The sequence below is a fragment of the Homo sapiens genome, chromosome 5 (assembly GCF_000001405.40).
Source record: "Homo sapiens chromosome 5, GRCh38.p14 Primary Assembly".
NCBI lineage: Eukaryota > Metazoa > Chordata > Mammalia > Primates > Hominidae > Homo > Homo sapiens.
In genome coordinates this window covers 94,460,890-94,484,499 of record NC_000005.10, presented here as the reverse complement: position 1 = coordinate 94,484,499, position 23,610 = coordinate 94,460,890, and the positions used below count along the sequence as shown (strand labels likewise).

Sequence of the window (23,610 nt, the reverse complement as noted above, 5' to 3'; positions counted from 1 at the left end):
AAAGAAACACAACTAGCCTATGGAAAGAATAAGCAGACTGGGTGGTCTAGTATCTTTTCTTTTGCTCCTAGCACCCAGATGATCTTGAGCAGAACATATAGTCTCCTTAGACCTGAATTTTCTCACCTTCAAAATAATGATGTAGGACTACATTAATTTTCTCTTTGTTTTCTTTCAGGATTAGATGCTTCAGATTTCGATATGTTATAATGTTATATAGGGTTGTGAGAATTAAATGACAGTGAAAATAAAATACCTAAGAAAATGTCTAGTATATCATAAACGATCAATAAATGTGAGTTGTTAAAATAGTAATTATAATTATGGAATATGTTGTTTTTAGTTTAGTCTTAACAAAACCCCTTTGAAAAAAGCCATGCTGTGTGTACTGAATAATATTTCCAACATTAAAGGTAAAATTCAAAGGTATAATGGTTGAGGTATGTTCTCTGTTATCATATCTATATTTATAAAAATTTTCATTTTCCTCAGAATGAAATATACAAAGTTCTCCTTTACGTGATACCATATGCCATTCTAAGGAGTGTAAATATATATATATATATTTGCTGCATCTGCAAAAAAAAGTGAAGGAAGCAAGTGATTAACAATTAGTCTGAAAAATTTAATCCCCAAAACCGATCTCTTGGTAAAATTATTTTCACTTATTATGTTTACTCTTGTATTCCTTTACTTACTTTGCCCACGTAAGTAATGTCACAAAAGTTATAGGGTTGGATTTTGTTTTACATTAAACATAGTTTACTGGCCTTCTTTGTTTCAGGTGAAATTTAGGTAACACTGTTATATTATAAAATAAATAACATAGATTACTTTTTCAAATTTGGAGAGAATTTGAAGAAAAAATAAAGATGGACTATAGATTTCTGAAGCCAACCCCAAAAAAAACCCCCCCAAAAAAACCAAAAAAAAGCCAAAGATTTAATTAGGAGAGAATGGGACCCTTAAAACGTCTTTTAGATAGAGTTTGACTGTGAGGTCAAACAGAGGTCTGAATAGAGAAGTATGATATCCTAATTATTGACTGACATATTGGTTCCTGGAACAGTTGACATTGGAGTTGGTACTCATCCACCGTGCCTGGCTAAGATTTGTCATCTCTCATCTACATCTCTAACAGACCTTTTCTGAGGTATGCATCAAGAAACAGAATGAACTTCAAAACATCTAGGCTTCTACCCATTTTGAATCATCTTGTATTAGTCCTAGGCTAGACTCTTGGGAATTAAGTCAGTTTTGTGAACTTTATTCTTCTTAAAGTCAGCATAAATTCAAAATTAGAATTGCATTAGGAGGTATTATAAAGATGTTACACTGAAATGGCCAAGAATTGAAGCATAGATTTGGCATGCTGACTTTAGAGAAAATAACAATTTTGAAAAAGGTGATTCAATTCCATTAGATTAAGATGAGGCAATGTGGAGACTTGCAAATGCTGGATATTTGAGAGCAATGGTTACCATTTGTGAATGAAAGTCAACAGAGCAAATACATAATTTGCCACAATATACTGTTGCAAATGTGTCATCTTATAAGCAGTAAGGCAGATAAAAGCAACTTCAATATCATGTTAATAATAGTGAACTATATGAACACATTTGTGGATTATCAAACACAGGATGTAGAAGGAATTTCAAGGGGCAAGTATAAGAAGTGTCTCAGTACTAGAACGTCTCCTTGTGATATATGTAGTCTTCTTTGTTGAAATTCATATTTTTTTGGTCACAAAGCCAAGATTGATTTAATGTGACGCAGCTTTATGTAAATAGATTCCTGAGAAGAATGATCTTGAGGGAAATTGTCAAGAAAAATCTTAAATGTTTTATTCAGTGTATCCAAGTTAATCAATTCTTATCAAAAGCATTGGTTTCTTAAATCAGGAAGGAAAAGACTCCTTGAAATGGATGATTAAGGAAGCCAACTATATCTTAACTATTGGGTATTCCTGATAGTTAATGTTTTGCTTAGAAATCTGGTGAGGAAGAGAATAGCGGGGAAAATAGAGAGGAAGTCATTTGGTTTCCTGCGTGTTTATTTTGATTGGAGCATATTTTGCTAATAAAGATCTTGGAAAGAGTTGCCTACGATGTCTATGTAACCCAAACATATGAACAGATGAAAAATGAGGACTTTTTTTGCATTGTGCAGATTTTTTAAAAATGTCCAGACACTTAACATCACATAGAGAAAATATAAAAATGATTAACCAAATATTTTACTTTTTACTTTGATGTTTACTATTATATTGTAGACTTAGCCAAATTGGCCGTTCTCTCAGTAATTTGATTGTAGACAAGAGATTTTGTAGAGATACAATAAATATTTTCTGAGAAAGAAAAGATATTTTGTCATTATTTGCTTTTGTTTGGTCATGATTCGATGGTTTTCTATTTTTGTCACTTCAAAAAATGATAGGACATTATTTGACTGTTGTGGTGCCTTACTGTATTAGGTGATGATATCTTATGGAGTGGCCGTGGATTTGATTTATGGGGCATTTCTAATGCTTCTTTGGAATAAAGTTGTTCTTTGGGCAATTCCTCAATTTTTCCAAAGGTGGCATCTGAGATTTATCTAAACCAGGAGGCTTCTTGGCCCTCATTTTTCTTTAGCCCCAGCAATGACAAAGAGCAATGGCTGCTTCAATTGGATGTAAGAAGAACACTTAGGGTTTGTCTCAGAAGAATCAAAGATTTCAGATCTTCTGAAAGATTGTTTGTACTCTTAGGGGGTCTTAAGAGGGGTCAAATGGCTTCTAAGAGTTCCTTAGCTAGATGGTTAAGGGATTGTATTAGGGAGGCGTATGTAGTTAAGGTAAAGAGGCTCCTAGGGTTTGTAAAGCTCATTACACTAGGACTTTAGCTGTTTCTTGGGCAGAGAGGTCGAAGGCTTCCACATTGGAAATTTGCAAGGTGGCCACCTGGGTTTCTCTTCATACTTTTTCATGGTATTATCTCTTGGATGTAGTCTCTTCTACAGATTCAGCTTTTGGTGGGAGGTTGCTTGTGAGCCAGAAAAAGAACAGTGAAGAAAAGAAAGACTTGTAGTTCCCACTTAGAGCTGCCAACAAGGCAAGTTGCTTTGTAGTGCATACAATGGGAACCTATGAACACCAATTTGGGTGTGAAAGTGGATGTCACAGGGAAGTACTGCCAACCTCTACTCTCTATGAAAGAAAGCGGCAGTGTAGAAACTAACCAGAAGTATAAAATGAACCACAAAGAACTCTGTAGGGGAAGCTGTTGAGCAGCTGGCATTCTTGTGACCCTCTGCACTCTTCTGAGGTTCTTAATCTAGGCATGCTTTTAAAGAAACCAGTATTGACTGCATGCAAATAACTATATTTTACAGTGATGAGCCGAAAGTGGGCTACCTTCTCTAGACAATGATAATAAGTGTATAGATTTTAAATACATTTTTAAAATATATGAAATAATTCATCAAATGTTTAGAGTTCATAGAGTTTTACATTGCCAAATTTCAACATTGACCATTTTGAATTCCAGACAAATGTAAAAATGCCACAATTTGTTAAATCCAGAATATATCACATTAGTGTAGATCCCATGTTAGTAATCCTATCTAAAGATGATAACTTTTGCTTCCCTGTACAGAATTAAGTTTTTTTAAACCATTTTAATTTGGGGGAGAGGGATTATATTTTAAAGGCTATCATAATTGCTTCATAATTCATTTTCTATATCTTACTGTAGAATTGCTCACCAGCAAGAGGAATCTTGGAAAGCTTCTTTTTTTCCTTAGTCATCTTGAATATAGGCAGATGGTTTGTATAAACATCTGAGCACATTACTTTGAGTGAATAAACATAATGTATTTGGGAGTGAAATGATAAATACAAGATAATTAACTTTTTCCGTAAGTCTTAAACTATAGCTACACAATAGCAGACAGTTACTTCCAGAAACAGATCTGCAAAGCTTATACTTCAATCTAGTATTATTTTTCCAAAGTAAATACCTTCTAAATGAGCTATCTATAGAAAAGTAAAGTGACATTCAGAATCCAACTTTGTCCCTTCTTGTCATTAACAACTTGATCTTTATTATTTTTTCTGTTCTAAAAAACTGAAAACTTTTAAATAGGGTGAAAGAGTAACTACTTCATACATACCTCCATGTTAAAAATAACTCAAAACCTTGTCATACTATGTAGAAATTCTCTTTTATAACAATTTAGAAAATGTAGAAACACCTTGTTATTTCTACTAGAGGAATAGTTTTCCATTGGTGCATGTATCATAATTTAACCAGTTATTCATTGATGGACAGTTAGGATTTTTTTCTCTCTTCATTTGCTACCACAAAACATTATATGGCAAATTTCCTTAATTATTTCTTATATGTACACGACTATATCTGGATGGTAAATTTCAAAAGTAGAATTGCTAAATAAACAGGCATGATCAGAAAGAGGATGAAAAGATAAGCCACAAACTAAGAAAAAACTATTTGCAAAACACATATATGATAAAGAACTTGTATCCAAAATATACAAAGAACTCTTAAAATTCAACAAGAAAACAAACAACCCAATTTAAAAATTCATAAAAGATCTGAACAGACACCTCACCAAAGAGGATACACAGATGGCAAATAAGCATATGAAAAGATGCTCAACATCATGTCATTAGGAAAATGCAAACTAAAACAAGATGACACTACACACCTATTAGAATGGCTAAAATCCAAAACAGATACAACACCAAATTCTGGCAAGGATGTGGAACAACTCTCATTCATTGCTGTTAGGAATGCAAAATGGTACAGGCTCTTTGGAAGACAGTTTGGCAGTATCTTACAAAGCTAAACATAGTTTTACCATACAATCCAGCAATTGCACTCGTAGGTATTTATCCAAATGAGTTGAAAACTTACATCCGTACAAAAACCTGCACAGGAATGTTTATAGCAGCGTTATTCATAACTGCCAAAACTTGGAAGCAGCTAAAATGTTCTTCAGTAGGTGAATGTATAAACAAATTTTGGTACATCAATACAATGGAATATTATTCATCGATAAAAAGAAATGAGATGTCAAGCCATTAAGAGACATGGAGGAACCTTAAATGCATATCACTAAGCGAAAGAAGCCAATGTGAAAAGGCTACATACTATATGATTCCAACTATATGACATTATGAAAAAGGCAAAACTATAAAGACAGCAAATAGATTAGTGGGTACCAGGGTGGGGTTATGGGGAGGAGGGATGTGTAAGTGGTGCAAAGTGAATTTTTAAAGCATGGACACTATTCTGTGTGACAGAGTAATGGGGGGTACATGACATTATACATTTGGCAAAACCCATAGAATTGCACAACACAAAGAGTGAACCCTAATGTAAACTGTAGACTTAGTTAATAATAATATTTTTATATTTGTTTACCAGCTGTAACAAATATACCATATATTGCAAGATGTTAACAGTAGAGGAAACTAAGGGCAGGGAGGAAGTATATGTGAACTTTCTGTACTTTCTGCTCAATTTTTTTGTAAACTGGAAACTTTGCTAAAAAATAAACTATTAATTTTCAGAAAGTGGACATTTTGAGAAAGATTGGCAAGTCAGCTTCTCATATCTACTTTGACAGTTGATGGTATTTTTGTTGTGCAGACTTACTTTATGGTTTCTGCATTTCATGTCCTGAAAAGTCTTCTCTATGTGGATCTTTTAAAAAAATTTCCATATTTTCTTTTAATGAGCTTATAGTTGCATTTTTCTTTATTTAAAAATCTTTGACTAATCTGGATTTTATTTCAATTAGAAGTGATCCTTATTTGTAACACTATCTTCTTGAAAATACATCATAAAATACAAGCCATAAAAAATCATTTTAAGTTAAATGGTCTAACACTGTTTGAGTCTAAAACCCTCTCTGTGTTGTGATGTGTCTTGAGAAATGGAATAGGATTCTTAAACTGCAGTCCATTGGATTAGTTAATGAGATTTACAAGAGGGCCTGGAAATCCCCAATTTGTGTGTGTGTGTGTGTGTGTGTGTGTGTGTGATGCACATGTGCCTGCCATACAGTCATGTTATGCATTTTTGTTTGCAGTGTTCTGTCACTTTAATCATGTTCTTAGAGTGTTCACAAATCCAAAGATGATTAAGAAATACTAGAGTTGATGAAAACTTTTCCTCAGAATATGTAAACTCTGATAAAATTTCCCAAAATAGTGATGTTATTGCCAACCAAATGGAATTTTTACCTTTAACGCACTTTATGCACAAGATGGTTGAAATTAACATCAGAACAAAACACTTCTATTTCATCAACTGTATTCCTTAGAAATCATTCACAATTAAGTTCATAGAGCCAGATTTAGGAAAAGAAAACACGCATCTACTGGATGACTCTATTGGTCAGAATCCCTACTGATAAAGACAGTTAGATTTTGAAATTTGCTTTGCCCAGGCATAAAGAAATTGATTCTTGGTAAATCATGGGGAAAAAAGAAAAGTTAGATCATAACATAGAATTCATCATCATACACCATGTCTAAGCCAAAAAAAGTAAACCTTAAATTATTCATACTGAATCAAATTATCATTAATCTAATCTTAATGGAAAAGTAGAAAGATTTATTTTGGAGTAGTTATTTATTACATTTTTATAGATCAAATTTTTTTTCCCATGGAAAAGAGTTTCTTAATTGTAAAAAACAAAAGTTGTGGAAATATTTCCATTTTCGGAACTAGGGATTATTTTATGCCTGTCTCAGAGTTTGTGTTTTTTAAATGAATCGTTGATATGCTTAAGGGTATAATTTTTCTCGTTATGCTGATGTTTATGTATTTTTCTTCTTTGTTTGAAGTTAACATGCTAGGAAATACCACCATTTTTAAAATATAGTACTTTAGAATTAACTTTTTAAATGAACAAGGAAATAATATTTATTTTGTCCTCTTACATTATCAACCTGAAAATAAACTAATGACAAAAATCTTTATTTTGAAGATTATACGTTTATGTACATCAAAAATGAATGTAATTGGGATGTAGATTTCATCAAGTTTTATGTGAAAAAGGACTCTATCTATCTTGATTCTGTCATTATTGTAATGGTGACATCAGCCTCCATCTTTTTGACTATATTCTCTATATATTGTTATTTGTGGATGTGTATATGTATGTATGTACTGTGGATAGAACTTTTCTACGTAGTTAATATTTACCTGAATTTATAAATCACATCTAGTATGCTTTTTAAACAATATATATTAGTGTGTTTGTTTTCTTTTCTATTGCTTAGGAATTTTGGAGAAATCCGATAGAGAGGTTGTAATGGAAAAACCTAGAGCAAACGAAACCAATATTCCTTCCGAGCAATCACTACCAGGAAAAGAGGTAAGTGAAGGAAAAAGAAGTGTTTTATAATTCACATATAATATCATCATATGCCTGTGAATCCATTATGAATCAAGATGTCTTGAGTTTTACCCTTTGCTACAAAAAAATAATTTTTCAATTTTGGATTGAAAATTGGCTTATAAGTTTTTGATGAGAATTCACTTTAGTGGGGATGCTGTCTTCATATAAAATCTATTCCATGGGAGGAATAGAGAGATGGAACTCAAGAGATCTTTGTTATTATCCTGACTCAGGGCCTGCACTTAGAGGATGTGGGCTATAGATAATTGTCGAATAGCGAGAAAATGGAGATTAAAAAGGAAAAGGAAACAATCATCTCAACTGGCCTCATATTTTTGATCCCCATCCTGTGATTGTTTGGTCCCAAAACCTGTTACCACTCTGCTCTGCTCTAGATTGTAGAGAATTACACTTTCCAGGCCCCCTTGCTTTCGGATTCTGGGACGGTTTAGCCAATTAAAGGCATTGATGGAAGACCTCATGGAAGGCATTGATGGAGCATAGGAGTTGCAGAGAAATCAGAGCCTTTCTTCTCCTCTCTCTGTCTTAAGGAACATCTCTGATAATGGCTGTGACACCTTTATCTCCACCCTGAGCCCTGTTCCCACCATGCAGCCTTCCCTGCATGACTTCAGTTCTACCTGGCAGGTCTGCTTGGGCTTTAGCTTCGACTGGTAGCCCCAGGAGCTACTCTTCCATAACTTAGTCCCTTTTCTAAATTCCTCCAGCCCTAGGGGTGGTTGCGGCCTCCTGCTCCATTAATATCTGGCCTGCTTCACAGTCCATGTTTGACTTCTCAAATCTTCCATCATGCAGGTAACCAAAACCCTACATTAAAATTCTTCCTTTTGAAAAATCTTGAGTGGTTTCTGCTTTTTGAATGGACCCTGACTGATACACTAGGTAAATATTTAAAGAGACAAAACAACACATAGTTTTAACAGAGTTTTCGCCTTTAATAATCGGGAAAATCCTAAGTTATATATTATGCTTTAACCAAAAATCAAAATCAGTACTAAGAAATGAGCACTAAATAATAGAAATAGAGATTCAACAGATTATCTACTTCGTGCATAGAAGAGAAAACCATGTGATTCTGTTTTTTCTTGGAACAACTAGTAAGTGTTCTCTAGTCTAAATGGAATATGTATGATGCCAAATATTAGATGAGAAGAGTAGAAGTAAGCAAACTATATTTCATAAGAACAAATAAACTATTGGAGGTTTGAATAAGTAAAGGTTTTCAGTTTTCTTTTCTTTTCTTTTCTTTTCTTTTTTGAGACATAGTATCACTCTGTCACCCGTGCTGGAGTGCAGTGGTGCAATCTCAGCTCACTGCAATCTCCGCCTCCCAAGTTCAAGCGATTCTCTTGTCTCAGCCTCCCAAGTAGCTGGGATTACAGGCGCCCACCACAATGCCCAGCTAATTTTTTATATTTTCAGTAGAGACCGGGTTTCATCATGTTGGCCAGGCTGGTCTCGAACTCCTGACCTCAGGTGATCCGCCTGCCTCGGCCTCCCAAAGTGCTGGGATTATAGGCGTAAGCCATCATGCCTGGCCTTCAGTTTTCTTTTTAAGAGCAGCTGTTAATGTACTTGTTTTTCTATATTTGAAAAGAGAATTCAGATAGGCCAACATATTATAATTACATGTATATTATCATGGGCAAAGGTAACTTTCACTGCCCAAAAAATTTTTAAAAATTCAATACAGCCATGGCAATTAATGACATTTTCCACTAGGACATATTTGCTTGAAGGAATAAATGAATGACTTTAGTAAATAGACATGCCCTGATAGGGAAAACAAAAATCAGAATTTTTTTGTTTGAATTTTCATGGAGGTAGTTTTATTTTTACATTTTTTTCATAAATGTGTCCCAAGGAATTACTGTCATAGCACAGGGCTATAACTATGCCACTTCCAAGTTCTCTTATAAGAAAGAAGATTATATCAGTTGAGCAGATTCAGTTTTTGATGAATTTTTTTTTTTTTTTGAGATGGAGTCTCGCTCTGTTGCCCAGGCTGGAGTGCAGTGGTGCCATCTCGGCTCACTGCAACCTCCGCCTCCCAGGTTCCAGCGATTCTCCTGCCTCAGCCTCCTGAGTAGCTGGGACTACAGGCACGTGCCACCACGCCCGGCTAATTTTTTGTATTTTTAGTAGAGACCGGGTTTCACCGTGTTAGCCAGGATGGTCTCCATCTCCTGACCTCAAGTGGTCTGCTCGCCTTGGCCTCCCAAAGTGCTGGGATTACTGGCATGATTTTTGATGAATTTTATGCAAATATAAGATAAGAGAGATGTGTTTTAGGCCCTCTGATGCTTGAGATCCAAATAATCTTCAGAAAGTTCCGTTAAAATTTAGTTATGAGCGTAATGAGAGCAAGAGCCATGTTTCTGATTATAGAGTCATGGAATCATATAATTTTAGCTCTAAAAAATGAATCACCTTTATTACTTTGTACAGTATATGTGAAAAAATAAATTATTGCTGAATGAGTTGTACATATAAGAAAATTAGGCTTATGATCATAATTTCAGTAATTTTAAAATAAAAGGGACCATAGAAATCATACAATTCAACTCTGTTGTTTTTCTAGCAAAAAAACCCCTGAGATCAAGAAAAATAAGTGATTCAGTCAGGGACATGGAGCTCAGGGTTTTCTGAAGTTGGGGTAGGTGGCACGTTACTGTAAACAAAGTTACATTAAAACAGGGAAAGTTGAATCCTAAGCATAGGTTCAGCCTGCTACCCATAATGCTTTTGAACTTTAGAGAATGTTAGGAGACCTGGAGAAAATATACATTCATAAATATATTGCCTTATGAGCCATAGACCAAAGGAAAAAAGAAAACATCAGCCCCTCAACTGTAGCTCAACCCCTTCTACTCCCTTCCAAGTACCCCCCCAACCACCACAATAGAACAGTGCAGATTCTTTTAATTCTTCATTCTTGGAACAAAAGTAGTGCTGCTTATGACTTTGCAGCTGGAGAGACTAAAATTCTAAGCAAGTAAAAATCTAGGAAGTGCAGTGGTATGTTTTCTCTGAGAAATTTATTTCTTATTGCTATTTTTTGGCTTGTCTGGAGTTCTGTGAGTGAAAAAGAAATGAAAGTTGAATATTAAATGCTGCCTTATGTTGCAATACTTGTTAACAATAAACTATAAAAAAGACTATAAAAATCTAATTTAGACTTTATTAAATATGTTGAATTTAAAGGTTGTTTTATGTGATAAATAGTAACTGTAGCTTTCTGTTCTTGTAAAGATGGCTTTATTGAACTATATTTAAGAGATTAAATTTTTTAAAAAGTTTTTTATTAAATCTACTGATGAATTAAAATGAAATGTCAGTATATTACTGTGTGTAAAGAATGCACATGTTTTTGTATATTGCTTTATTCACTAGGTAATATTTTTTAGGTTGTAAGAATGGCTTTTACAGTATATCAAAGAATATATTCAACATGTTGAATGAAAGTAATAATTTTATATCTATAACAATAGAAACATTTGTTGCTGAGTTAAGATTAACATGACTTCATATACATTGATATTTCAGGCTACCTTACTAGATTTTGGCTGGAGAAGTGCATTTAAAGAAGTGTCTCTTCCCATGGCGCACTGCGTAGTAACTGCAATTGAAGGTTTTTCCACAAAAATTCTCCAACAGGAACAGAATGAAAGGTCTTCAGCTGTGAGCTATGCTATGAACCTTGTAAATGTCCAGCAAGTTTGGCAAGACAGCCATATGTTTCCTGAGGAGGAACAACCAAAGAAAATTGGAAAAGCAAGTATATGAAATCCTTTCAAACTGCTGACTGGCATGATGGGATTTATTTTAGTATAAGGCATTGCAAAAAGGACCTGTAGATCAAATGGTGGAGTCCCTTGGCAAGTACTTGGTACTTGACCCAGTACCAGTTTTCTTCAGTGGTATCCATGGGCCACTGCTGCCCGAAAGGACTTATACCTGGTGCTAACTTGTTGCTCCATGAATCTGAGGCAACCAAAAAGGGGCCTCTGTGACTTCATGGGGAGCTGGGAAACCCTGGGAAAACCACCTGTTTTGATTATACGTTTGAATGACTCCAGGAAAATTTAGGAGGTTGAAGGAAGTGCTGTCTTTTCTAGCTTTGGGCACTTAAAAAAATCTTCATTCACCTTAATGAGCTTTTCATCTCATTAGTATCAGTCTTACATCTCCATATGTGCTTTGAAAGTCACAGAACATACTGAGAAAATAGGAGGTAAATACAGTCACTTGGCATTAAATCCAGAATGATTTCAGCAACCTATGATTGGGATATTCTTTTTTTGTTTTGTTTTGTTTTTTTGAGACGGGGGCCTCACTCTGTCGCCCAGGCTGGAGTGCAGGGGCGCGATCTCGGCTCACTGCAAGCTCCGCCTCCTGGGTTCACGCCATTCTCCTGCCTCACCCTCCCGAGTAGCTGGGACTAAAGGCGCCCGCTACCTCGCCCGGCTAATTTTTGGTATATTTAGTAAAGACGGGGTTTCACCGTGTTAGTCAGGATGGTCTCAATCTCCGACCTTGTGATCCGCCCGCCTCAGCCTCCTGAAGTGCTGGGATTACAGGCGTGAGCCACCGCGCCCGGCCGATTGGGATATTCTTAAAAGAATTTTTGACGATGACCTCCTTATTCTGCCACAGTCACTCTAAGTCTCCAGAACATTCCCTAGGTAACTGTGTTGACTGATCCAATGTGGAGATAGGCTTTACTTTTCCATTCATCACACCTCCCTTCTGCCATTAAGGAAGAGAAGATACATAATAAATTGGGAAAGGCTAGACTCATCACTTCTAAAAGTTGCTGACACCCTACCAATAAGAAGATGCTACATGAGACTGTTTCTGATTCTTCTAAATTATTTAAATTGCACTGACATTTATATGTGGCATTTAATTTTTAAAAACCCTTTATGGCAATTTAGCAAAAGAAAATTAGAATAAGTTTAAAAAATAATGCAAACGTTAATATGAAGGATACATTTTCTTGATATTATACAATATCAAGGATATATTTTCTGAGTCCTACTAACTACAGATAAAGGTATTGTCATGTATAGCTGGTTCATGAGTTTTTCCTAATGTCTGTCTGGTAAGCATAAGGTTTGAAAGTTATATAGAGAGAAGCATTGTTTTGGTATTTCCTTATTTGACATAAAACATTTAACTTTCTACAACTGAGAAATCGATTATTACAAAGCTGCGTCATTATATTTATGTTTGATGCCAAATTCATTATTTAGGAATTTGGCTCCACTGTCCATAAATTACTTGGTGCTGTCAGAATACAAATAACTCAGTGCCACATTTATTTCTCCCTAGTTTTGTTCTGACATCATGGAAAAACTTGACACAATGCTTCCACTGGCTCTGGCATGCAGAGATGATTCTTTTCAGGAAATTAGAGCAAACTTGGTGGAGGCCTGTTGTAAAGTGGCAACAGCTGTCCTGCAGAGACTGCAAGAGAGAGCCAAGGAGGTTCCTTCCAAAGCACCCCTGAAAAACTTGCACACATACCTCTCCACAGCGGTGTATGTCTTCCAGCATTTCAAGCGATATGATAATTTGATGAAGGAAATGACTAAAAAGTGAGTGTTGTTTAAATTAAGATGATGGCCACGCTTAAAGAAACGTGTAATCTTTGGATATCACAGGAATGAAATTTTGGTAATAAGATTTGAGAAAGAGAAAATAATAATTAACAAGGTGAATTATTTTCATTTGTCTTAACTAGGAAATATCAAAAAGGTGGAGCATGGGATATATTAAACTAGATACATAGATAGTAAGATAGTACTATCTCTAAAGGCACACTCAAAAACCCACGCATTTTCTGCACCCTAACCCAGCGCAACTATTTTCCGCATGTTGTTATTACATGAATAAACACACCCTTTCGTTTTGTAAGGTGCATTATACTGACCACACTGAAAAGGAAAAATAAACTTGTTGTCTCGTGGAGCGGACTTAGAAAATAAATGCATTGTAATCTCTTCTAATGATCAAGGTAAACATATTTCAGGACAGCCATTTAGTAGTAAAGTATAATATTTGAAGAGGAAGCATCTGGCAGTCTAATTTTCATGTATCTGTAGTCTAAAACTGCAGTATGTTTTCTGTGTAGAGATAAAAATGACCACAGGCATTAATTATCATATGGTCTTTCTTGTTGCCCTTACACTGTCTAGATATAACATGGCTTCTTGCAAAAGAAACACGTAGACTTAGCAGTCCTGTGTGACCCCGAGAATCTATTCTATATTCTTTATCCAGCCTTTGCAGTCCGTTAGTTATGAAAGAAAGCAGTGTGATATTCATAGCTAAAGATAAAAGTAGAATAAATTTGGCTTGATGTAGGGTATAACTGTGATATTTCTTTAATTCTCATAAGTAGTCAGATGTTGTGATTCATGCTTGAATTTATAAACAAAATGTGCCAGAAATCATTTTATTTAATATTTCTGTAGAATTTTAAAAAACAGTTTATGAGATAATTGATATCTACAAAATTACAATTTTTAAAAATAAAGAATGTGTTTGTGGGACATTTGATAGCTTTATAAAAGTTGGTTCTGACAAGTGCATGTTGTTCTCTAGTAAAAACAATAACCTAATGCCTAAATAATGCACTGATCTCTAATAACAGGCTTACAAAGAATACTTTCATTTTTGAATGATGTATTGACAATACAGTTTGTCTCAAGTTGAAGTGCGTATTTGTAGAACAGCAGATGTACGTTTTCAAAGGGCTTGCAAAACAAAGACCAGCTTTTTTATTTTTTTTTTTCCTTTTTGGAAAGTGAATGTGGATGCAGACTTCAGCATTAAGAGGAAATGAATGATTGATATCTAATAATCAAAACCATTTGTAGTACTGGAGATTGTTATCTCCTACTGCACAGGCCTTAAATCTCTGTCTCTTTGATCATTCTCTCTGAACAGACCCATATTCCTGGTGCTTGTCCAACGATATCAGGAATTCATCAACACTCTACAGTTTCAGGTTACGAACTACTGCGTCAGAGTTTGTGCTACAAGCATTTTACAGGATGCTGAGAGCCACCACTGGGATGACTACAAAGCTTTTTATGAGGTGTGAAGTTAAGTTTACTATCCCTCCTTTTTACACAAATATGTTTTACTGCGTACCTGCTTTCTGGCTAATTAGAAACATGAGCTTGGCATTACTAATACCCGAAGGCTGTTAGGATAATATTTTTAAAATATTGAATTCATACTTAGGAAAAACAGTGTTTTTAAAAACCTGAAATAAATTAGACATCAGAACTCTCCTTCTGCTTAAAAGTAAAAATAACTTAATTTGAGCTGCAAGGTTGTAGTGCAGCATAGTTGGAATATAATGGGATACAATGAAAACTCAAAGAGATAACAATGCCAAAATGCTACAACCTTGCATTTTTTCCAAAGAGACCAATTAGTTATGGATATCCTTGCATTTTTTCTTGTTATACATTTCCATATGTGTTTGATAAATACCTTTTATTAAGCAGCTTTATTCTTTATACTTATTTTTTTCCTTCTCATCATATGTTCTTATGAGTATGCTTTAAGACCCATTTGAGGCCGGGTGCGGTGGCTCACGCCTGTAATCCCAGCACTTTGGAAGGGTAAGGCAGGCAGATCACTTGAGGTCAGGGGTTTGAGACCAGCCTGGCCAACATGGTGAAACCCCATCTCTAGTAGAAATACAAAAAGTTAGCTGGGTGTGGTGGTGCATGCCTGTAATTACAGCTACTCAGGAGGCTGAGGCAGGAGAATGGCTTGAACCCGGGAGGCGTAGATTGCAATGAGCTGAGATCCAGCCACTGCACTCCAGCCTGGGTGACAGAGCTAGACTCCATCTCAGAAAAAAAAAAAAAGAACAGTCATCTGATCAGTTATAGTTTACCTATTTTCATTTAGCCATGTTTTGAAATCCCAAATTGAAGCCTGATGATTCCCAGTGCAGCCAGACCCAGGATCAATTAAAATTATTCATCATCAAGCTTCATTAGTTTCCCTTCACCTAAATCTCATTGATTATGTGCAGACCACAATATTTGAAATTCCTTGAAGTTGATTCCAGGGCAGGGTGAAACATTTATAATATCTTAATAAAAGGTAATCAGGATTTTTAAAAAAATTCAACAGCCATGCCTAGTTTCATTAACTTTTCCATTTTACCCTTTCCTCTAGATTGAAGTTTATGATTTTCATTTTCTTGATTGTCCTAATCACTATAGAGTATTGAGAAAAACAGAGTGGAGTTTTATTCATCAGAATCGCTCCTGTCACCTCGCAGGCACTGAAGGTTCCTGTGGTTTGATTTATGCCCGAGTTATTATCATAATAAATGTTGCTACAACAGAGAGGAGCAGCTAATAAGAAGCTCTCTTAAAGGACTTTCCACTTTTTCTAAGGCCATTTCATCTCTCCTTTAGAGGCCCTTCCCAGAGAGTTTTTCTTTTTGCAAGAGCATCCATATAGAGTTTTCCAAACCTGACATACTTCAAACAGTCATGGAAGCAGCAAACAGAATGAGAAGGAGAAAGTGGTATGGTGCAGCTGGTAGCCTGAGATAAGAATTAAAGTATTGGTCTTCCCCTCTCCTGGCAGCATCATATTTTCCTTATTTGCCTTGAAGTAAACAGAGTGGTTGAAAATGAATCCATCTCATGTTTCAAACTATTTCAGTATGTCAGTGTACTACTAATGAGCAATTTTATATGATGTTTTCCGTGAAGAACAGGTATCATCTCACTATATGTTCAACATAGGGGTATTATGTTTCCTCTTATGCAAATTGGGAGCTAGAAGAGTTGTACAGTGTAAATAAGTGGATGCATTGAGAACCTGTTATTGAAGTTACCAAGTATTTTAAAAACCAACAAATTACCATGTAACATGCAGCTCTTAGATCTTATGACAAGGCTTTAGCTTCAAAGACGGAAATAACCAGATAGTTACCCTGTGATTACATGGTACTGTAGCTTCCATATACTTACATGGTCAGTAGTTACAATTTAATTGCAGAGTTAGTGGTTGTTATTTATTCTCAGAAAAATAAAGTGATACTTTTTTTGTGTATCAAAAATAAGAACCTTCTAAAAATAGCACTGATTTTAAACTGTTTTGACAACTGGAGTACCTGACATGGTTTTATCTTGCTTACTGCACCCCTTTCTTCTGCTCTCCCCATTATTCCAACTGCTTTGTGAAACAGGACTAGTATGTTTTTGGCAGGCCTGCTTTGAGAGGGAAAAAGATGATATCTGCCTGACTGGAGGTGAAGGGTAGGATAGAGATCTCAAGGGAACCTATCGCCATGCGCAGAGCATAGTAAAGAAATAGTAAAATAATTTACAAGATATGCAGCAATGTTTGCTCATGTTTTGTGATAGCAAGTGAGATCTAGATACATTATTTCCATTTTCTAAACTGTCAGCTTGAGAGAGTCAGAGTTCTGTATCTCTCTGATGAGGTGCTGGTCACGATGGCACAGTGGGTGTTCAGATTACATGTTTAAAATTAAGCTTTTAGGATGGTTGACATCTGCTCAGTTTTAGGAACTTGTGTTTTCCAATAGTCAAAGAATAAAGAATTGTCTGTTCAAAGATAATATTGAGTGGCTTCTATAATAAAGCCCAGCTGCTTGTTTCCTGATATATAATCTAAATAAAAGCTCACATCTGTTTACATCATAGTGGGTTTGCAAAAATAACAGATGTTTACTAGCAGAATACTTTTGAAATGACAACAAATAAGGAAACAGGTCAGAAAAATAAATGAACCACATTTAGTTTAATGAAAACCCTTGCATACATTGAAGTTGTATGAATTTAAAAAGAATTGTTAGAACAAAGACCTGTTTGAAATATTTTAAAGTAAACATGAAGTTTATATTTTAAAAAGTCTTAAAATGAGTATTTTTTACTTTTAAGGGAAGAAATCTGTGTGCCCAAAGTTACTTTTATTTTCTCATTTATCACTAAATGGTAGCTGTTAAGGAAATTGGTTTTTAACATTTTGAAGAATATGAGAAATCATTTTGATCACGTTATAATAAGAACTGACCCATTGCCATAGGGAAAGTTAGTGTAAATCATTCATGCTAGTCACTATCAACTGGGGTCAGTTTTGCTTAAATTTATATGCAACACAAAGGGTATGAGAGAACCAAGCGTTAAAACTCCTTTCTTGGTTTAAAAAGTATTCATCAAAACACATGACAAAGAAAGCATAAGAAACTATAATTTTGCTGCTTCATCATTAATTTTGTAATTTCTTTTATCTTTTTTTTTTTTTTTTTTTTTTTTTGAGACACAGTCTCGCTCTGTCACCCAGGCTGGAGTGCAGTGGCACGATCTCGGCTCACCGCAAGCTCTGCCTCCCGGGTTCACTCCATTTTCCTGCCTCAGCCTCCCAAGTAGCTGGGACTACAGGCGCCTGCCACCACGCCCAGCTAATTTTTGTATTTTTAGTAGAGATGGGGTTTCTTAGTAGAGACGGGGTTTCTTAGTGTTAGCCATGATGGTCTCGATCTCCTGACGTCGTGATCCGCCCACCTAGGCCTCCTAACGTGCTGGGATTACAGGTGTGTAATTTCTTTTTTCTTAAAGAGTTTAGATGCACATCTAATTAGGAAATCAGAAGTCAGTGGCCAAAGTCCCCTCCCATTTGAACTCGACTCTGACATTTTGATGCCCAAGTTTCTTACCCAAGGAATACAAATTCTACTGGTTTATAAATGTCATTTGAAAGTCGGTAGATAATAACTATAAATTATTATCGTTTCATTGGCTGCAGAAGATATTAGTAATCAAATAAACTACCAGAAGAGTAATACATAAAGAAAATACTAATGGGAGTGTCTACATAAGAAATGATCAACTTTTGGTATAAGAGAACAGCAGATTTTTTTTTTTTACATGACATTTGCCTGACAAATACAGATAGTAGACAAAGCAGAAATTTTAAGTAAAAGATAATCACTTGGAATATAATGGGAAATTTTACTGGTTTAACTTTTGATATATTAACATAATCAAGATAATGCTTGAGGAATGCATTCTAATCTTCCTATTTCAAATAATCATTTGATCTGATTTGAAGAAAATAAGGTGAAACTACTAGCATACCTCCCTGAGAGTACGTGTTACCTGATTAATGCTTGTAAATCATTTGAGGCCACACTCTTCTTTCTGCCTGTTCCCCTTGGCCTTGGCCATTGTTAATTCTTCCTCTGCAGTCGGAAAATTTGGCACACAGAAGAGATCTGTACAGGGGTGGAAAGGAATGAAAATATAACTCTTTAAAAGTATGAAGTGTCATAAAAATACTAAGAAATGATGATAATATGTGCCTAGGCTTTAGAAAATCTTGTAAACTCAGACTATTGTGGTATCTGTTTCTAGTATTGTTATTTAAATGCCATAGGCAAAATAGCCTAATGTAATAATATTCGATAGTTACCCATCCCCCTTAGTTTCAAGAATGTTCCTAAGAATGCAGTATGCAAGTTTATTTTTACTCCTGTTACTTCATTATAATGCGAAATCTGAAACATTTATAAAATTACCTTAATGATGCTAATAGGCTCAGAAAAATATACCTACTGAAATTATTTAAATAGATTTTAATTTTAGAAGAATCAGTCCACTATCTTAAACAAGCTAGCATGGCTTTTTCAGCAACTACAAAGCTAGTTGTTTAAAAATAGATTTTAAACCCTAGGCTAGGCGTAGGTAAATCAAGGCTATGCTAGGTTAAATGTTTGTGATCTGGATTTGCACTAGAATATCTAGTCTCGAAATAAAACATCTGTTCCTTTGTCAATAAGGATGTTTTACATCTTGTCAAAAATCTTTGTTGGTCTTCTAGTGTGTCAAACTCTTTAGCTATTTCCTTTCAGCCTGAACTAATTACGTTCATAGGAAGCAAATCGACATTTTAGAAGATGTAACTCTATGGTTTAACGTGTGCTGGCTTTGCCAGGGGGAAAGATGTTCCTTCTCGATCCAGATGTGGCATTATTTCTGCTGGTCTCTTCATTACGATCTCTGGACCATTCTGCCTCCTAAGTTAGCCCAGGAGATTCTAGTGGAAGTGCTGGAGAAATCTTTGAGTCTACTGGCCTCCAGATACGCTCGGGCCCACCCCAGCCGTAAAAGAACTCCACAGTTAAGGTAATTGAAGTTCTGAAAAACATTGCTTTTCAAGAAAACTTTTCATTAGTTGGTATAAAGCAGAATTCTGAATCTCATGACATACTCCTTATATATTTAACATGTTTCTAACATCTGAAAAGAAATCATATTCTATTCTCCTGAGTTATTTAAGTGGAAATATGAAACCTGATTCAAAATACGTTTGTTCTTTTTATTCCTTAAAATCGTCTATAGAACCCACTTGTTGCTAAAAAATGATTCAAGGTGTCCTATAATCTAGGATATAGATACACAAATGTTAATAAGATAAAAATAGAAAATTAAGTCCCTGAAATTGATACCAAAGCATCCATGCCATGATGGAGCAGTCAATTTGACACATTTGATTTGAGCTTCTAGGCAACCAGGGGATTTGAGTTGTTTTTTGTTAAGGCTTTAAATATAGAAGCTTATCTTCATTAAGAAAACCTAATTATTTTCTTCCTAATATATTCTAATTATTTTTTCCTTTTATTTTCACTATTTGTTACTAACAGCCAGTTCAACAAAATGTGAAATCACAGAAAATGAGGAGCAGCAGTCACTGAGTATTAAATAAGACTGAATTCTAGTACAATTCTATGAGTTATCTAGGCAATGAATATATGAATTGTGCTTACATGACTACAGTGGTCTTGTATGTATATGAAGAAAAGCCTTTTGTTTTGTAAATATTCTGTATAATGTGATTCAGACCTTTTAGGTAGAATAATCTTTTTTCAGATATATTTTAGGAGGAACCTACAGACACGGGAGGCTTTCTTTTTTTTTTTTTTTTTTTTTGGCAGGAGGAATCATTTCCTGATCATGTTCTTGTAAAGCATGCTGTAATTTGAAGGGCATTTAGGTCCTGCTGCAGTGTTTCATAAATATGGTATTTTGCACAGGCTGTTTTGAATTACTGACCAGACTCTTTTAAAAAACTGAACTCTGAAGAATAGACGGAAAATTCCTTTTGAAAGCAAAGAATACCTTCATTCTTTTCCTTATGTAGCATAAATCACTTTTGATTATGAAATGGCAAGTCATTATGAGATATTTGTGAAATCAGCTTTACTGTTACCTCATGAAATAAGTAGAAATGGGTAGTATATTTAATGAATTAACTGTACAATAGAGACTTTTGGTTTTTATTTTCTGGGTGGTTGCATAAAAATGCCATGCAATGCTAGAATTATTGCTTCTAGTTTTTATAAGTAAAATATATAAATATTTTTATTTGACTGGTTAATCCTAAACCACCATTATTATGGAAATCAGATTGTGTATGTGTGTCTCTCCATATATATTGGATTAGAAATTGTTTATCTAGCAATTAGGAAAAGCATGTACAAACTAAAATTAAACGTTTATAAAGGCTATTATTGATTCTTTTAGTATTCCAGTAGCCTCCAAATGTCACATAACTAAGCCATATATATGGTTTATATATGTGTCATATATTATTAATATATAATATTTATTATATAATAAATTTGAGACCAAAATGTCATTTTAAAAGATCCTCAAAGTTGTATTTTTCTTATCACTTCAAAATTTTCATTTTCTATTTCTTCAACCCTGAATGTAAAAGACAAATAAAAGAAGAAACTAACTGAGGTCTGTTCAATTTAGTTAGATGCCAAAATAATAATTAAAGAGATCTTCGGGTCCCTATTAAAACTTGAGAAAGATGGAAACAAAGAAATAAGTCTATGAATAAGATAAATAATATGCATATTTTCCACAAATTTATTTAATATTAAACATTTCTGAAACTATAGGCTTCTCGATTTGAGCTTCGTTTGTCATTTCTTCTTATCTCCCACTTGCTGGGAGAACATGCTACCAATCTTGTAACTTTTTTTGACAGCTTACATATGAGTGAGGAGAATTGTTGTGCTATGAAATTTTAACCTATCATACATATACATGGATAATAGCAAATTTTTCTTCTCATCTAGTTTCTGTTTTGCTCAGTATAATTTCCGGGATGATCTCTTGAGTTTCTTGAACAGAATCCTAATAATGTAAAAGAAACAGTTTTTAAAAGCACTCCTAAAACTCTATTACAGAGCTCACCATCCCTAAAGATAATGGTATTGTGGGTCATCTAACACCTAGAAACTCAAAGAGTGTCTTTGATACTTTCTTTTTGGTTTAGATCTCTGAAGTTCTGGTATCTAACTGAATTCTTCTATTCTTACATATGCTTAGTACAAGAGATATGAATGAAAGTGCCTACCAAGCAGAGACATTATTTTGTTTAACATGATTTTCTTTTCTTTCTTTCCAACAGACTTGATGTCACAACAATTTTGATATGCACTGAGAACATGTTATGGTCAGTTTGTACATCTGTACAGAAACTTTTGAATCCTCATCAGCATACAGATGATAAAATTTTTAAAATTCACACTCATTGTAATAATCTGTTTACAACATTAGTCATTTTGACTTCACCATTAACAGAATTATATAAGTAAGTATCAAATGTATTTTCCTTTTAGCTATTATGATATAACGTGATTAACAAAGTTATTTTCATAACACTTATGGAATTATGTGAAGTTACAAGTAGAAATCTTCTGAAGTGCATTTTTGATACTGTGAACTAGGCCATTTTATAAAACTAACACCAACCAACAGAGTTTCATAATTCTCGATGCAATTCAGTGCCCGAAAATGTGTTATGTTTCTATTGGTCAATCCCATTCAGCTGATAAAGTTCTAATACAATCAGGAACATTTTTAGTTTCACTATTTGGGTTGTTTAAATGATCAAATTATATTGATGGCCTGGTTATCGCAGTGATTTTTTGATACTCTGTGAAAAAGAAAACTATATTTGAGATATACCTCAACTAGCAATGGCAAATGGAAATAGAAATAATAATTACATTTTTAAAATGTGGAAATATTTTACTTAGCTCAACAAATAAGATTTAGAAAAATCTAGAAATGTGGAATTACTTTTGATTTCTGGTTAATTCAATTCAAATCTGTAATGCTATAGAGGAGGTTAGAATACGTCTTATAATAAAATATTAATACCATTTTGTTTATATCCTCCTCCAAAATTGTCACTTTTATTTTTTAACTAAATAATTGTATCTTCATGGGTAGTAAAAATTTCACATATGTCTATTTCTAAGGATAAATTAGGTCAAGTGTTTCTTTGCATAACATTCTGGTAAAAGCGACATACAAATCTTAATTTTTAATACATTTTGACACATTTGTATTAGATATTCTAAGAGAATTAACAGCCTTTATTTCAGCTTCACCTACTCTGACTTTCAATAAACCCATTGTTTACAGAATGTTCCTTCTAGCAACCCAAGTTGAGAGCTACTTTTAGAAATGGAGCATTCTTTCAGAAAGGGGAAGAAACTGTAAGATAAATCACCATACGGTTGATACTATGTACATAATCGTTCATAATCGTAAAAAGCTCAAGTCTGAAGCCCATAATAAATCCTAGGAAACTAAACTGATTTACCATAGATGAAAAAATTGCTGTGCTCTCAGTTCAATGGGTCATTTCATCTAAGAGGAAGGCCCTGTGAAAATCGGGAACAAAGTTGACAAATTTCATGGATTGGTCATGGTGAGCAATATTGAATTTCATGCTTTGTCACAGATGAATTGAAAAATTTTAGCCCCCCAATGCATTTGTAAAACAAATAAATTATTATCAAAGATTGCATATTTTAATAATAATGTAACATACATTCATTATTGTTAACCTATGGCTTTTTGATACATTTTTAACAACTATGCAAGTACTGAAATCTCTATGATTTGTGCATTAGATATTGCACTGTAACCTCATTCAGCAAATTTAAATTGCTAATTTCAATCAGGATTACAGAACATTTTACGCTAAGCACTGCCTCTGGTTTTTCTTAATGTAAAACATAGATAACTATATTGCTTTGAAGCATGAACAAAAATCTAGATATACTTTAATTCTTTT

The 23,610-nt window shown here is 34.3% G+C and overlaps 1 protein-coding gene across 18 annotated transcripts in view, besides 1 other annotated feature; it reads left to right on the top strand.

Annotated features, from left to right (window-relative positions):
• Positions 1-23,610, top strand: part of KIAA0825 — a 467,754-nt gene that overhangs the window by 134,105 nt on the left and 310,039 nt on the right. For 16 of the 18 annotated variants that reach the window (XR_948246.3, NR_169751.1, NM_001145678.3 and 13 more), the window contains 6 exons: positions 7,295-7,389; positions 10,981-11,208; positions 12,769-13,034; positions 14,389-14,539; positions 19,441-19,631; positions 21,931-22,113. Coding sequence is in view for 16 of the 18 variants with exons in the window: in NM_001145678.3 (NP_001139150.1) it covers positions 7,295-7,389; positions 10,981-11,208; positions 12,769-13,034; positions 14,389-14,539; positions 19,441-19,631; positions 21,931-22,113 (1,114 nt within the window). In the remaining 2 variants the exon portion in view is untranslated. Of the gene's footprint in view, positions 1-178; positions 2,361-7,294; positions 7,390-10,980; positions 11,209-12,768; positions 13,035-14,388; positions 14,540-19,440; positions 19,632-21,930; positions 22,114-23,610 lie in introns of those variants that run through there. The other 2 variants (XM_047417111.1, NM_001385714.1) reach the window with 2 other exon arrangements.
• Positions 18,494-19,693: an enhancer, noted in NCBI's record as "BRD4-independent group 4 enhancer chr5:93800512-93801711 (GRCh37/hg19 assembly coordinates)". NCBI's record gives its function as "activates an origin of replication core promoter dependent on BRD2, P300/CBP, MED14 and CDK7 cofactors, and independent of BRD4, by STARR-seq in HCT116 cells {active_cell/tissue: HCT116}" and the evidence as "EXISTENCE:reporter gene assay evidence [ECO:0000049][PMID:35650434]".